Source organism: Homo sapiens, chromosome 10 (assembly GCF_000001405.40).
Source record: "Homo sapiens chromosome 10, GRCh38.p14 Primary Assembly".
Lineage (NCBI taxonomy): Eukaryota > Metazoa > Chordata > Mammalia > Primates > Hominidae > Homo > Homo sapiens.
The window spans coordinates 95,980,976-95,995,535 of NC_000010.11; the positions used below are offsets into that span (position 1 = coordinate 95,980,976).

The window sequence follows — 14,560 nt, forward strand, 5'->3', positions numbered from 1 at the left end:
ATTGATGGCTCTAAAGAAATCCTTACTCAATTAGGGTTGAATTCCTTTTGCACTTAGTCTATAGCTAAGGTCACTAAGAATATATTAGGAGTCTAGCCTATCTTTTACAGCTTTCCAACTTTTAAGATTATCTCATGGCAGGGCACAGTGGCTCATGCCTGTAATCCCAGCACTTTGGGAGGCCAAGGGGGGCGGATCACAAGGTCAGGAGATTGAAACCATCCTGGCCAACATGGTGAAATGCCCTCTCTACTAAAAATACACAAGTTAGCCAGGCGTGGTAGCACGTGCCTGTAGTCTCAGCTACTCGGGAGGCTGAGGCATGAGAATCGCTTTGAACCTGGGAGGCAGAGGTTGCAGTGAGCCGGGATCGCGCCACCGCACTCCAGCCTGGCAACTGGCTACAGAGTGAGACTCCGTCTCAAAAAAAAAAAAAAAAAAAAAAAGATTATCTCATATGACCAAGGATGGTCCTCTGGCACATACTTACCCAGTTAATTGCATTACTTTCTATTATGTTTCCACTGTAAATATGTAGCCTAAATGTGGTTTTTATTTTCTGTGCTTTCTTAATTTTGCTTAAGTGAATATTTTGATTAAATTTCAATATTGTGCATCCTGTGAAAAGAAAACATTTAATAAGTTACTATGCTTAGGGTTTACATAATACATCCCATAAGCACCATTCATTTAAGCATCTACAGTATTTTAGCTGTTACATACAATATCGATGGCAAAGATGAATATTTACAGACTATTCTTAATAAGGTTATTGTCTCTTATAAACATTTATCAAAAAGCTGTGATACAAGTTAGAGTGAAAACTAGGAGAGATGTCACATCTCAACTTTCTATTCTATCCATAAATACAGAGGATGGATAAATTTTATCTTCAAATACCCAGAATGGGTATGTTTTTACCCTATATAACAGTGTATTATATATAATACATATATTTTATATTGTATGCAAGTTCACAAAATATTTTCTCTATGTTAGTATGTTAAGGAATGTAGATGCAAGAAGTGTTCCTGGAATTCCATGGCTCATGAATGAACAGAAGCTTTTTGAATGGGCAAATGAAGTCAGAATTGATCCAAATAATCCAGAATATTCTGATTTAATGGAATCTGTTACGGTAAGTTAAAGCAAATATCAATACTGTAAACATATTCTATTTCCTAAGCTCTACTTAGGAAAGTATAGTTTCCCCCATAGTTTGCTGTATATTTTTCTAGGCTCTTGGGGTTATGTAAAAGTAAATCTGAGGACAGAGACCATTTTCAACCAGTGTACAATACTGTAAAGACAATTAGAAACTCAGCAACTGAAATAATTCCTCCTTTAGGCCTGATGGATGGTCCTCTGCCACTACTTAGCAGCCACAGCACATCTGACAGTCTTTTATGCTAACATCTATTGTGCAGTTACCATGTGCCAGCCATGGTATTAGATACTGAAGATACCGAGATGATTTATAAACACACTCCTTCTCTCAGACTCCATTATATGGTCACCTCTACTCTTCTTTATAGCCAACTGAACTGCTCTATGTACCTCACACATGCTTTCTTCATACCTTTATTCATGCCACTGCTCTGCCTAGAAGGGTGTCCATAGCGGTTATCTTATTCACCCTGCAAGTCTAATAAATGCTTCCCTGGTAACCTCAGTTAGGCACCACATTTTCTTTCCTTGCTTTCCTGTTAACCTTTCTTCTTCTCTTTTAAAAAATCAACTCTTATGACTCTAATTTCATTCTGCCTTTTACTATAGGTTTCTTTGTTTTTTGTTGTTATTGTTGTTTGTTTTTTTTAGATGGACTCTCGTTCTGTTGCCAGGCTGGAGTACAGTGGTGCGATCTCGGGTCACCACAACCTCCGCCTCCCAGGTTCCGGCAATTCTCTTGCCTCAGCCTCTCGTGTAGCTGGGATTACAGCCACACGCCACTGCGCCCAGCTAATTTTTGTATTTTTAGTAGAGAGGGGGTTTTACCATGTTGGCCAAGCTGGTCTTGAACTCCTGAACTCAGGTGATCCACCTGCCATGGCCTCCCAAAGTGCTGGGATTACAGGCATGAGCCACTGCGCCCAGCCTACTGTAGTTATTCATTCATATATTTTATTTTTCCTTGTGGAACTACAGCTAAGAAATCTGTGTCTCTCTGATGGCAGCTAGCACTATTCCTCGTGTGTACTATGCACTCACATTTGCATTTGTTGAATAAAACAACCTATAGATTAGATTGCTGCAAGTAAACTCCCTAGATTAGAGCTTCTCAGCTGAGGTGCAGAATTGGTTATAGGTATACAGAAATATTGATCCTCTCTCAACTCAGGATGACCAGATAGGAACAGTCTCATCTGCCCTATCAGTGTACAATACAAAATTCAGTGTTCAGTGCGAATATTTTCGTTTTCTTTGTAAGTCATGACTGGGAAAAGGTTGGAAAGCCACAAAGGCTGGATTCTATTTTGTTTTGTTTTTTGTATGTTCTAGACTACAAATTCAGTTGTTCCATTTCCTACTTATATTGCCACTCAGATCTCACAGTTGGGGAAAAAGTCTTTTGAAGTAATTCCTGAATTAAAAAAAATTAATATTTTAACTAAAGACTTTGCGTTTTACAGTACATGAGACTTAAGGGGCAGGATATTCCAAAGTATTTTCGTCTTGAACAGTTGCAAGATGAATTTAACTTCGTTTCTGAAGAGGAAATGGCAAAGAGTAAACGTTTCCAGCTATTGCAACTTAGAAATGCAGGTCAATTAGATAATTTCCTTCTACAGCAAATGCCCCTCCATGATACAGAGATTCCAGATTTAGTCTTCCAGGTATTTGGTTTCTATTTGAATATGGCTTATTGTATGATAAAGTTAACGTTTTGCTGCTTTAACCCTATCTTAATTTATTTCTTTTTTTTTAAGCTAATAATCTGTAGACAGATTTCCTCCCTTCTCTTTAGGCATTAAAAATATACGTATCTCCCAAATTCCAGAAATTCTTCAGCTTGACTTTACGATTTAGTGTTGTCCAAACAGTCTATTCAGTATTCAGCAGCCAAAATCCTTTAGGCATATTCTAAATTTATGTAACTATTATATTTTTGTTATCATAAAATGTATCACCAATTTAAAAGCGGCTTTGGGAGTAAGGGGGAGAGACACTACCACAGTAAACTTAAACATTAATTATAAGGCCCATCTCAATGTTAGAATCTTTAAAATATTTCTAAAAGAAAACAAAAGCTGGGATGCACAATAGGTTCTCACTAGCTGGTGCCAGCCAGGTCTAGCACACTATCAAATAAGGCTAGCTTTTCATATTAGTTGCTTTAAGTTTGCTACTTGGTGAGATTTGGATATGGATCAAATATTAGATAATATTGGAGAATTGCTTGTGGTGCTTACGGCATTGTGGTTATGTAGAAGCATGTCCTTAGTCTTTGGAGATTCATGCTGAAGTATTTATCTAGAGATGCTTAAAGTGTCATCATGACTGTAATTGAGAATATGTTAGCCAAAAATAAAATAAATAAAAACAGATAAAACAAATATGATAAAATATTAATTATTTAATCAATGGGGTAGAGATATGGATTTTAAAATTTCTTTTTTTCAGCCAGGTGCAGTGACTCATGCCTGTAATCTTGGCACTCTGGGGAGCTGAGGCAGAAGGATAGTTTGAGTCCAGGAGTTTGAGACCAACCTGGGCAAAATAGTGAGACCTCATCTCTACAAAAAAATAAACAAAATTAGCTGGGCATGGTGGACCACACCTGTAGTGCCAGCTACTTGGAGGCTGAGGTGGGAGGATCACTTGAGGTCAAGGCTACAGTGAGCTGAGCTCCTGCCACTGCACTCCAGTCTGGGTGACAGAGTGAGACCCTGTCTTTAAAAAAAAAAAATTACACACACACCCACATACACATGTGTGTGTATATATATTTCTACTTTTCTATATGTTTGAAAATTCGAAAAAATTTTAAACAAAAATAAATAGCATCTAATATACCAGTAAAAACCCACTAAAAATGTAATTTAACAAATATATCACTTGTAAGAGCAATAAAGACTGTAAGATACATAGGAATATATTTGACAGAAGTTATGCAAAAACTCAACAGATAACATTTTGAAATATTTTTGAATGATATACAAAAGAATCTGAGTAAATGTTCATTGATAGGAAGAGTCAACATTGTAAACTGCCAATTCTACCCATATTAAACTGTAAATATAGAAATGCAATTCCCAACCAAAGAAATAGAATAGACTTATTATGCATATGTGGAAATTTTATATTTGACAGCATTGTCATTACAAATTGTTGCGGGAAGTCAGGGACCCCGAACGGAAGGACCAGCTGAAGCCATGGCAGAAGAACATAAATTGTGAAGATTTCATGGACATTTATTAGTTCCCCAAACTAATACTTTTATAATTTCTTACGCCTGTCTTTACTGCAATCTCTTAACATAAATTGTGAAGATTTCATGGACACTTATCACTTCCCCAATCAATATTCTTGTGATTTCCTATGCCTGTCTTTACTTTAATCTCTTAATCCTGTCATCTTCATAAGCTGAGGATGAATGTCGCCCTAGGACCCTGTGATGATTGTGTTAACTGCACAAATTGTTTAAACAATATGAAATCTGGGCACCTTGAAAAAAGAACAGGATAACAGCAATGTTCAGGGAACAAGGGAGATAACCATTAGGTCTGGCTGCCTGAGAGCCAGGCAGAACAGAGCCATATTTCTCTTCTGTCAAAAGCAAATAGGAGAAATATCACTGAATTCTTTTTCTCAGCAAGGAACAGCCCTGAGAAAGAGAATGTGTGCCTAGGGGTAGGCTTCTAAAATGGCCGCTCTAGGGATGTCTGTCTTTTACAGTTGTGGATACAGGATGAAATAAGCCCCGGTCTCCCGTAGCGCTCCCAGGCTTATTAGGACAAGGAAATTCCCGCCTAATAAATTTTGGTCAGACCGGTTGTCTGCTCTCAAACCCTGTCTCCTGATAAGATGTTATCAATGACAATGCGTGCCCAAAACTTCATTAGCAATTTTAATTTCGCCCCGGCCCTGTAATCTCACCCTGCCTCCATTTGCCTTGTGATATTTTATTACTTTGTGAAGCATGTGACCTCTGTGACCCACACCCTATTCGTACACTCCCTACCTTTTTGAAAATCACTAATAAAAACTTGCTGGTTTTACGGCTCGGGGGGCATCACGGAACCTGCCAACATGAGATGTCTCCCCCAGACATCCAGCTTTAAAATTTCTCTCTTTTGTACTCTTTCCCTTTATTTCTCAGACCGGCCGACACTTAGGGAAATAGAAAAGAACCTACGTGAAATAACGTTGAATTATTGGGGGCGGGTTCCCCTGATAACAAATCAGTTGGAAAAGAATGAAGGATGCATTAACTGGTTCTGGAATTGTTATTCATACATGTGGAAAGAAATAAAATTAGATTCAGACATCAGAAAAGAAATAAATACCATGTGTAGTGAAGATTACTTGTGAAAAGCAAAACTTGAAATGGGCATTTCAATTTTGGGATACAAAGGTATTTCTTAAATAAGACACGAAAAGTATAAATTATAAAGAACAAGATTAATTAGTTTTTCTTTGAGATGGAGTCTCACTTTGTCGCACAGGCTGGAGTGCAATGGCGTGATCTCGGCTCAGTGCAACCTCCACCTCCTGGGTTCAAGTGATTCTCATTCCTCAGCCTCTGTAGTAGCTGGGGCTACAGGTGTGCGCTGTCATGCCTGGCTAATTTTTGTATTTTTGGTAGAGACAGGGTTTTGTCATGTTGCCCAGACTGGTCTTGAACTCCTAACTTTAAGTGATCCGCCCGCCTCGGCCTCCCACAGTGTTAGGATTACAGGCATGAGCCACAGTGCCTGGCCAGATTAATAAATTTTATAACATTAAAATTAAAAACCTACAGATTAGAAAAGTTATTCCCAACATATATAAAATTAAAATATTAATATCCAGAGTATTGTGTTAACTCCTAAAACTTAATACTTTAAAAGTAAATAAAGTGATATGAGGCCGGGTATGGTGGCTCATGCCTGTAATCCCAGCCCTTTAGGAGGCTGAGGTGGGCAGATCACAAGGTCAGGGTTTCAAGACCAGCCTGACCAACATGGTGAGACCCTCGTCTCTACTAAAAATACAAAAATTAGCCAGGTGTGGCAGCACACACCTGTAATCCCAGCTACTTGGGAGGCTGAGGCAGGAGAATCACTTGAACCCAGGAGGCAGAGGTTGCAGTGAACTGAGATCGTGCCACTGTACTCCAGCCTGGGTGACAGAGTGAGACTCTGTCTCAAAAAAAAAAATGTAAATAACGTGATATGAAATGGCAATATAATATTTTGTTAAATAAAAGTTGTTACTTGCAAAAGAATTAATTTCAGGATTTCTTATGGATAATTAGAAGAACAAGTAACTTACCTTCAGATAATGAGCATGCGTTGTTTCATGGCTGAAGATTCTAAAGTATTTACTTCATTATTTTTGTATAGTCTTTAATAATATCTATAATATAAAATCATTTCCAAGTGCATTGGGGATATATAATACTGAAAATGCATAAATAACAAATGCAAATTTACTTTATTTAGATGAAGCATCCTGACAATCTTATACTGACTATATATGTAATATTAAAATTATTTATTATAGTCAACACACATTAACTACTTAGTATATGCCAGGCACTTTACAGATATTATTTCAATTAAGTCTCACAAACAATCTTGTGACAGAGGCATTATTATTATTACTGAAGAGGAAAGTGGGGTCTGGAGCAGTTAATCAACTTTTCCAAACTGCACAGTTAGTAAATGCCAGGGCCAACTTGAACCTAGGACTGTCTGCCTCCACTGCCCATGCTCTTAACCACGTATTTTGTTTTTAGTGATACAGGGCAAATGCATACATGAAGAATCTTTTCTCAATCCTCTTCACTTTTCTAAAAAATCATTTTCTCAGTCACAAATCTTGTTCTTAATCATTACTCTAATTTAAAAGATGAATGGACTTCAATCTAGACCCAAACAGAATATAGTTAGAAACTGGTTTTTAGCCTATCCTCAGTGGGAGAATCTAAAAGAAATGTTTTCTTCTGTCAGTCTCAGAATGTTTCCAGTGTCTTACACATGGACTGAAGTGACTAGTGATATTTATTGCAATGTGTCATATGTGAACTCTTTGTTACATTCAAGAAGTGAAACTAACAATTCTGTATTTAGGAGTATGAAAGTCAGAAAGAGAAGGAGGTATCCGTTTCAGATGTAAATTCTATTACAGCACAAAGGATTAATTCTGCCAATTTTCTGAAAAAGGTAACAACACAGTATTATCAATATATTTGCATTTGTTTTTGTGAAAACTGGTCTGCTAGATCCATGGTATTATAGTCCTTCCAGAGAGTCAGATGGACGAATCCACTCACTCGTCACCTCTTTCAGATCACTGAGGAGTTTTCTGTTCTTTTCAGACCTCTTTTTGAGAGTTAGGTTACTTCATTGACAGTGAACTCATTATTAAAGCACATCCCAACCTTTTCTGTTTAAACATACATTTTAAAGACTTCCCATCTCTTCTTTGACTCTAAAAGTTCACCTTGAGAGATACCCCAGCATTTTGCCAGAACTCATATTTACTGGTGCCTCATGATGTCAAGGACTATAGCAATTCAGGAGATGAAGGGATGAAGGAGCTACCAGAGGCACACAGACAGTATTAGAAAAATAGATACGCTTTGAAACGAAGCCAAATAGTGAATATTTACAAAACACTCTAGCAGAGTCTTAACCAGGTTTGAGTGGAATCCTTCACTGGATTTCATGCCTGATTTCTATCAACCCCTCATCATGCCACTAGACTTAGAAGCTTAGTGCAGGGGCGACATCTACAGATCCTTAGTGCCTAGCATAGTATCTTACACTGAGAAAATGCTGATAAATGTTTGAGAAATTAATGAATTAAAGGATGGGAGTTGAGGTGGTTTCTACAACTCCTACAAAAGTAGACTCTTACCCACCTACATCTTCTTTGCTGTAGAGCACCAGTGCAGCCTTGCAGGGTAATTTGAAAAGAAGCAAGGAAAGCTATGGAAAGAGCTAAGAGATACATTCCAGATCCCTCATGGGGACAGGTGAGAGGCAACCATGTATAGCTAGTAGAGCCCCAGGCAGGTGTCTGAAGACCTGTTCTTACTACCCTGTGTGTCACTGGCAAGTAACCAAATCACTGAGTCCCACTTTATTTTTTACAAAAACGGACAATATTAATGCTTGCTTTGCTTTACATCCAATGTGAGGGGCAAATGAGATCAAACCACAAGTGTTCTTCTAGTTCGTACACCATGACTGTGAGATGGAATGTGGACCGCTGTAGCTCTCCCAGGCATGAGACAGCCCCCTTTATCACTGGCAGCTGTTTTTCCCACTCATCCCCTGCCTCTCTTACTTCTTTACTAGCTTGCTGTATGTTTTAAGTTGGGATGTGCTTTAATAGTGAGTTTGTGGTCTCGGGAAATAAAGAAGTGTTCTTGCTTATAAGAAAAGAGAACACATATCCTCCTTATCCTGTTTCTTCTTTTTTATGTAAGGAGAAGCCCAGGAGGGAGGGTAGCAGAGGGTTAGGAAGGATGTAAGAGAGCAAGTATCTGAGTATGCTTGAACTTCATACAGGAATCCCGGAAAGGCACTTTCCAAACATTTTGTGTTTAGATTTTAACTCCTTGTGAAGACTTCTTTGCTGAGGACAGTTTAAAACTACAGGTTTGAAAAATAAAATAAAATGAAACTACAGGTTTGGTAGTTTCATGGGATAATTACTATAATCAAAGATACTGGAAAAGTTTGCTTCTGGAGGCCTATTACGGCCATAGGTACCTAAATCCTTCTATGAGAGGAACTCATGGAACTGTGAGTTATGTGCATTACATTTCCTGCTGTGTTACTGGAGTCAGTGATGGCTGAGGCCAGGATTACAGCAGTACAGAATGAGGTCCCAGTAGTCTCAAATATTACTAAAGTTTTTACTGAAACGTTTTCTCTAAGAGGGTAGCACATCTCTTCAATCTGTCCATTTCATTAATTTATTCAAGAAATATTTATTGAGCACCTATTATAATCCCTGAGCTCCTTGAGTATATATTCTATAAGTCAGATAATTGGAAACACATTATTAGTATGTTACAGAGTGAAAGGTGCTATGAAAAATAAAGTAGGAAGAGAGAACAGGAGTTCTGGGTGGAGGGGAGGGGTTGGGGTGAGTAAGGGCACAATTTTAAATAGAAGTGGTCAAAGAATCCGGTAAGAAGGTAACACTTCTGCAAAAGACCTAAAGGAGACAAGGAAGCTAGCCATGGAAGTTTAGGGAAAGAATATTCTAGGCTGATGGAACCCAGCGTAGAAAACTTGGCGTAGAAGCACACCTGGCCTGTGGGAGGAACAGCCAGGAGCTCAGCCTGCATCGTGCCAAGGGAAAGTGGGAGAAGAGAGAGAGTGGCCAGTGAAGGGGCCACCGGGGTCTTGTTCACCTTCAAGGGAAACAATTTGTTGTCCGTGTGGCAGGATAATTTTTAGGAGTTATGTTTTTCCCATTCATCTCTCACCACTCCATTTCCCTACCCGCTTCAAGAAGATAACTAGGGTCTCGATTACATTGTCTCCAGAATGATCTTTGACAGGACAGAAAGCAGAAAATTGCCTCCAGACATGCTTCTGCCTGGTTTCATATCTGAAAAACTAAAGACAGGGTAAGAGGAGAAAGGGAAGGATTTCCTCAGACTAAAAAGGAGATGTTCAGAGTCCTTGGAGGAGCTAAGATCTGTGGGTTCTCCAAGTAGGAAGAGGGAGATGGCTTCCTTCAAGCACTGACTTTCTTGCCAGGCTGCCAGAATGAGGTCTTAAAGTCAGAATAGGATTGACTCGAAGGAAATACAGAAATGGGATCAAAATTCCTTGGGTTTGTAGATCAAGACTCATATCCATTACTAGTGGCTATTGTAGAAGTGGATTCACAGGGCAATTGTCTCCTTTGGTGAAAACTAGTTCTGGCCACATACACTGTGAGTTAGATGAAAAAAATAAGAGAGCAAAGAGTTTAGGATGAGATGAACTGGATGTAGAAAGACAAAAAAAAGTGGAAATAAACTAGCTTTGGTGTGACAGTGTCAAAGTTGGAAATTACTTTAATAATGGCAGCAAACAGAAGAGTATTTTCACTTGTCTAATCTCCTACTCCATTCATTGCTTGCAAAAATTAGGAGTAAAATATACTGGCACCGGTAGCATTGTAAATACTTAACCTTAAAATATAAACAATACATTTTTTATTAAATTCTAAATTTTTTTTAGGTGAGAAGGTTGATAATGAAGAGAATTGTTAAAATTAGCAAATGTAACTTGTCAGATATTGTGAATGATTATGAAGAAATTGTATCTACAAGGTAATTGCTAAAAACTATTAAGTATGAAATATAAACCTTTAAGATAATATCTTTAAAATCCTCTAAGTTCTCTATTTTTATTTTAATTAAGCCATATGTCAAAAGATGCGGTTTCAGATCATAACATGAAATATAATGATTTAAAATATTTGGTCAATTTAAAGTTGCATTTTGGGATCTCTACATGATATATTTTCAATTATATAGTATTTGGGGGCAGTTTTTTGCCCTCTCCTTAGACAGGTTTCAGGGCAAGAAAGAAAAATAAAAGAAACACCTTTGTCCCAAATTAGTTTTGCCATAAGATTTCCTGTCCTGAGACTGCTATAGGAAAAGTTGTTGCTGCTAGCACCATGCTAAGCCTGTAATCACCCCTTTGCAAAACAGAGAATCCTCAGCTGTACAAAGGTACTGAGATCCACAGGCAGCAGTTGGGGGAGCGTTTGCTGAAGTAACTCAATTCTCATACTGTCCTATCTGTGAACTAAGGGTAGGAACAGGGCTGTCTCTGGGAAAACTCCCTGGAGGCCACATGCAGACTCCTGGAATGATCAGTAAGGTTTTCAACGGGTTTAGGATGCTGAACTCTATTGTGTTTTACTTTTCAGTCCTTGAGGGGAAAATGAGTGTGACCATAAAACTATAATTCTATGGATTTGTGTTGCCTGGGTTGGCGGCATATATAACTAATTCTAGTTTCAGAGCCATGGATAAAATGTTAATATTCGGGCACTTTCAAGAGAATGATTCCTGAACAATGAATAATCTTCCAAAAGATCATCATGTTTCATGGCTTTACCTCTCCATGTCCACGTATCTGTTTGGACCATGTACCCAAGGGGCAAGGAGCAATCACAGTCTCTCTCAACATGAAGGAACATAGCATCTCTTCCTTCCTATGCTAAGAAAAATATTTCTCCTTGAGTTTAAGACAATTCTGTCTCCCCTCCATAATGCAGAGAATATGGTTTAGAATAATGGTCTCATTTCAATTACTCAAAAGACTGTTATCTTTTAAAACCAAGAAAACGTAAATGAGGCTAATGATCATTTTTTACCCTTTAGCCAATTGACAGATGCAGTTTGTAAGTTTGTTGAACCACGGAGAAAGTTAAAACCTCAGAGGAAAGAAAGGAAAAAAGTCACAGCGCAGGCGATCTCTGACGGAGATATTAAGATTCTTGTCCGAATAGTGAGGGCCTATAATATTCCTACCAGAAAAACAACAATTAATGGGTAAGGCAATATGCCCCAATTTTTAGAGTTGCAAAAGGTCTATTTTAAATGTGAGAATTCTCCATGCTGTTCTATTTGTAAACCTTTGCACTTTGTTAATGCTCCATATACATAAAATGAATGAAAATTGAAATCTTCATTTGCATAGTCATACCTACTGTCAATGCCATGTATTAAGAGTTTTCTGAGGTTCGAGATTCCCAGAGTAACTTTAACATGTATATTTTGAGGGTATTGGCTGCATGCTCACCTTCTCATACTGTATCAAGTAAATTCCTTTGTCTCTATTCCCTGTTGTGAAAATTCTGAAGCTTCTGCTGCCAACTGCCCTATTCCATGCCACTGACTCTCTCAGTACTGGAAGCAGAAAGGTGGAGAAAATGCCCCAGGAAAGCTGCGAAGCAAATGTGGAATGGTGTGTAAAATCAGAATTGCTACAGTTACACCCTGCTCTGTTTTAGACCTGTTATTTTTAGGTAACATCTACAAATTGTATGTGCCCCATTGGGTTTTATTTGTGTTTTGGGGGCAGAGGATACATGGGGCCAGAGTGGACATCACTAGTGGGTGGGCAAAGTACAGCATCATGAATATTAAGTGCCCACGTGTATTTAGTGTATCCTGGATATTTAGTGTCTCATATATGTAGTGTCAGTATGATTTATATATTACTAATATTTATACCCAAATGCCTTAAGAATGTTAGGCATTCCCCTCTGTCTGTGTTCAATACATGTGCCCTGCTTGCTTACATTTATGCCTACCACAGCTCATGAATTCTTCCTATGAAAAACAAATGCTTTGCTTACTGGCTACTAATCTATAGTTAACATCTCTTAAAGGTTTTGCCAGTGTCTTACAAATTACAGCCTTGTTCTTCTAAAAGAATTAAGTATGCTCAAAACAAATGCATATTTCAAAGGCTGTTTTGTGAAATAAAGACATATAAAATCACCACCATTTTCTATAAGCATCATGCTGCTAAAAAAAAAAAAAGAATATTGTAACACCAAAAAAGTAGGAGGGATATATTCTTAAAGTATAACTTGTCATATATATATAGAAAGAGTGTGTATATATATAGAGTATATATATATAGAGAGAGAGAATATATATAGAGTGTATATATAAAGAGTGTATATATATATATATATAGAGAGAGAGAGAGAGAGAGTGTATATATATATATATAGAGAGAGAGAATGTGTGTGTGTGTGTGTGTGTGTGTGTGTGTGTGTGTGTGTGTATGTATGTGTATATATATATATATATATATATATATATATATATATATATATATAGTACAGTCCAGCCCTACGGGGCTTAGCAGGGATTCTCCCTGTGTGCAGAGACGAGAGATAGTAAGAAATAAAGACACAAGACAAAGAGATAAAGAGAAAACCGCTGGGCCCAGGGGACCACTACCACCAAGATGCAGAGACCGGTGGTGGCCTCAAATGGCTGGGCGCACTGATATTCATTGCATACAAGAAAGGGGGCAGGGTAAGGAGGGTGAGTCGTCCAAGTGATTATAAGGTCAAGCAAGTCACCTGATCATGGGACAGGGGGCCCTTCCCTTTTAGGTAGCCAAAGCAGACAGGGAAGGCAGCATACATCAGTGTTTTCTTCTATGCACTTGTAAGAAAGATCAAAGACTTTAAGACTTTCACTATTTCTTCTACCGCTATCTTCTAAGAACTTCAAAGAGGAACCAGGAGTACGGGAGGAACATGAAAGTGGACAAGGAGCGTGACCATTGAAGCACAGTGCCACAGGGAGGGGTTTAGGCCTCCGGATGACTGCAGGCAGGCCTGGATAATATCCAGCCTTCCACAAGAAGCTGGTAGAGCAGAGTGTTCCCTGACTCCTCCAAGGAAAGGAGACTCCTTTCACAGTCTGCTAAGTAACGAGTGCCTTCCCAGACACTGGCGTTACCGCTTGACCAAGGAGCCCTCAAGCGGCCCTTATGCGGGTGTGACAGAGGGCTCACCTCTTCCTTTCTAGGTCACTTCTCACAATGTCCCTTCAGCATCTGACCCTATACCCGCCGGTCATTCCTTGGTTATATTAGTAATACAAAAAGAGTAATATTAAAAGCTAATGATTAATAATGTTTATACTAATGACTGATAATGTCCATGATCATCTCTATATCTAATCTGTATTATAACTATTCTTATTTTAACTATTTTCCTTATTACACTGCAACAGTTTGTGCCTTCAGTCTCTTGCCTCGGCACCTGGGTAATCCTCCACCCACAATATATATTTTAATTGACATCCATCGTGAATAACTTGCCTTTTCTTCCCCTTTTTCTGAATACCTGTGAATATTTTATCATAGACGAGATCTAATCCATAGTTCAATATTTAGGAGTTGCGCTTCCAGAGTAGTAATTATCAAATGTTTAGCTGTAACCACACATGATAAGACAATTCAAGGCAAACTCAGTAAGAACCAGAGAAACTGACTTATATATCTTCATAAGCACAGGAAAAACCCACCCACTCCTACCAAAACTAATATTAAAACTAATTAAGGTGTATGTCTCTCTATTGTTTTTCCTGAAGATCCTTGGATATGCCTACTTGTTTGAAATCATCTATATCTTGCCTCAGACATAGAGAAACAATCAAATCAGTAGCCTCAGATGAGACCTTACATGAGGTAAGTATTTAACACTTCTATAAAGTATAATATTGATTATGTTTGTTCTGAATTACAATTGACTCTTAATTCATCTCTCCATCTATATTTTCTTTGGCTTCCAGTTTATTTTCCATGACACAGTAAAGGTGGCCTTTATAAAATGTAATTCTAACTATTTCATTCCCTGC

General features: G+C 38.2%; 1 protein-coding gene and 1 long non-coding RNA gene across 20 annotated transcripts in view; one reads left to right on the forward strand and one right to left on the reverse strand.

The window, feature by feature from the left end:
• Positions 1-14,560, reverse strand: part of ENTPD1-AS1 (ENTPD1 antisense RNA 1) — a 337,030-nt gene that overhangs the window by 227,770 nt on the left and 94,700 nt on the right. The window lies entirely within an intron of this gene.
• CC2D2B (coiled-coil and C2 domain containing 2B) overlaps positions 1-14,560 on the forward strand; it is a 126,075-nt gene that overhangs the window by 73,305 nt on the left and 38,210 nt on the right. For 18 of the 19 annotated variants that reach the window (XR_002956979.2, XR_002956978.2, XR_002956977.2 and 15 more), the window contains 6 exons: positions 1,000-1,138; positions 2,631-2,834; positions 7,275-7,367; positions 10,395-10,486; positions 11,552-11,722; positions 14,294-14,390. Coding sequence is in view for 15 of the 19 variants with exons in the window: in XM_024447995.2 (XP_024303763.1) it covers positions 1,000-1,138; positions 2,631-2,834; positions 7,275-7,367; positions 10,395-10,486; positions 11,552-11,722; positions 14,294-14,390 (796 nt within the window). In the remaining 4 variants the exon portion in view is untranslated. Of the gene's footprint in view, positions 1-999; positions 1,139-2,630; positions 2,835-7,274; positions 7,368-10,394; positions 10,487-11,551; positions 11,723-12,033; positions 12,138-14,293; positions 14,391-14,560 lie in introns of all 19 variants that reach the window. The other variant, XR_002956980.2, reaches the window with a different exon arrangement.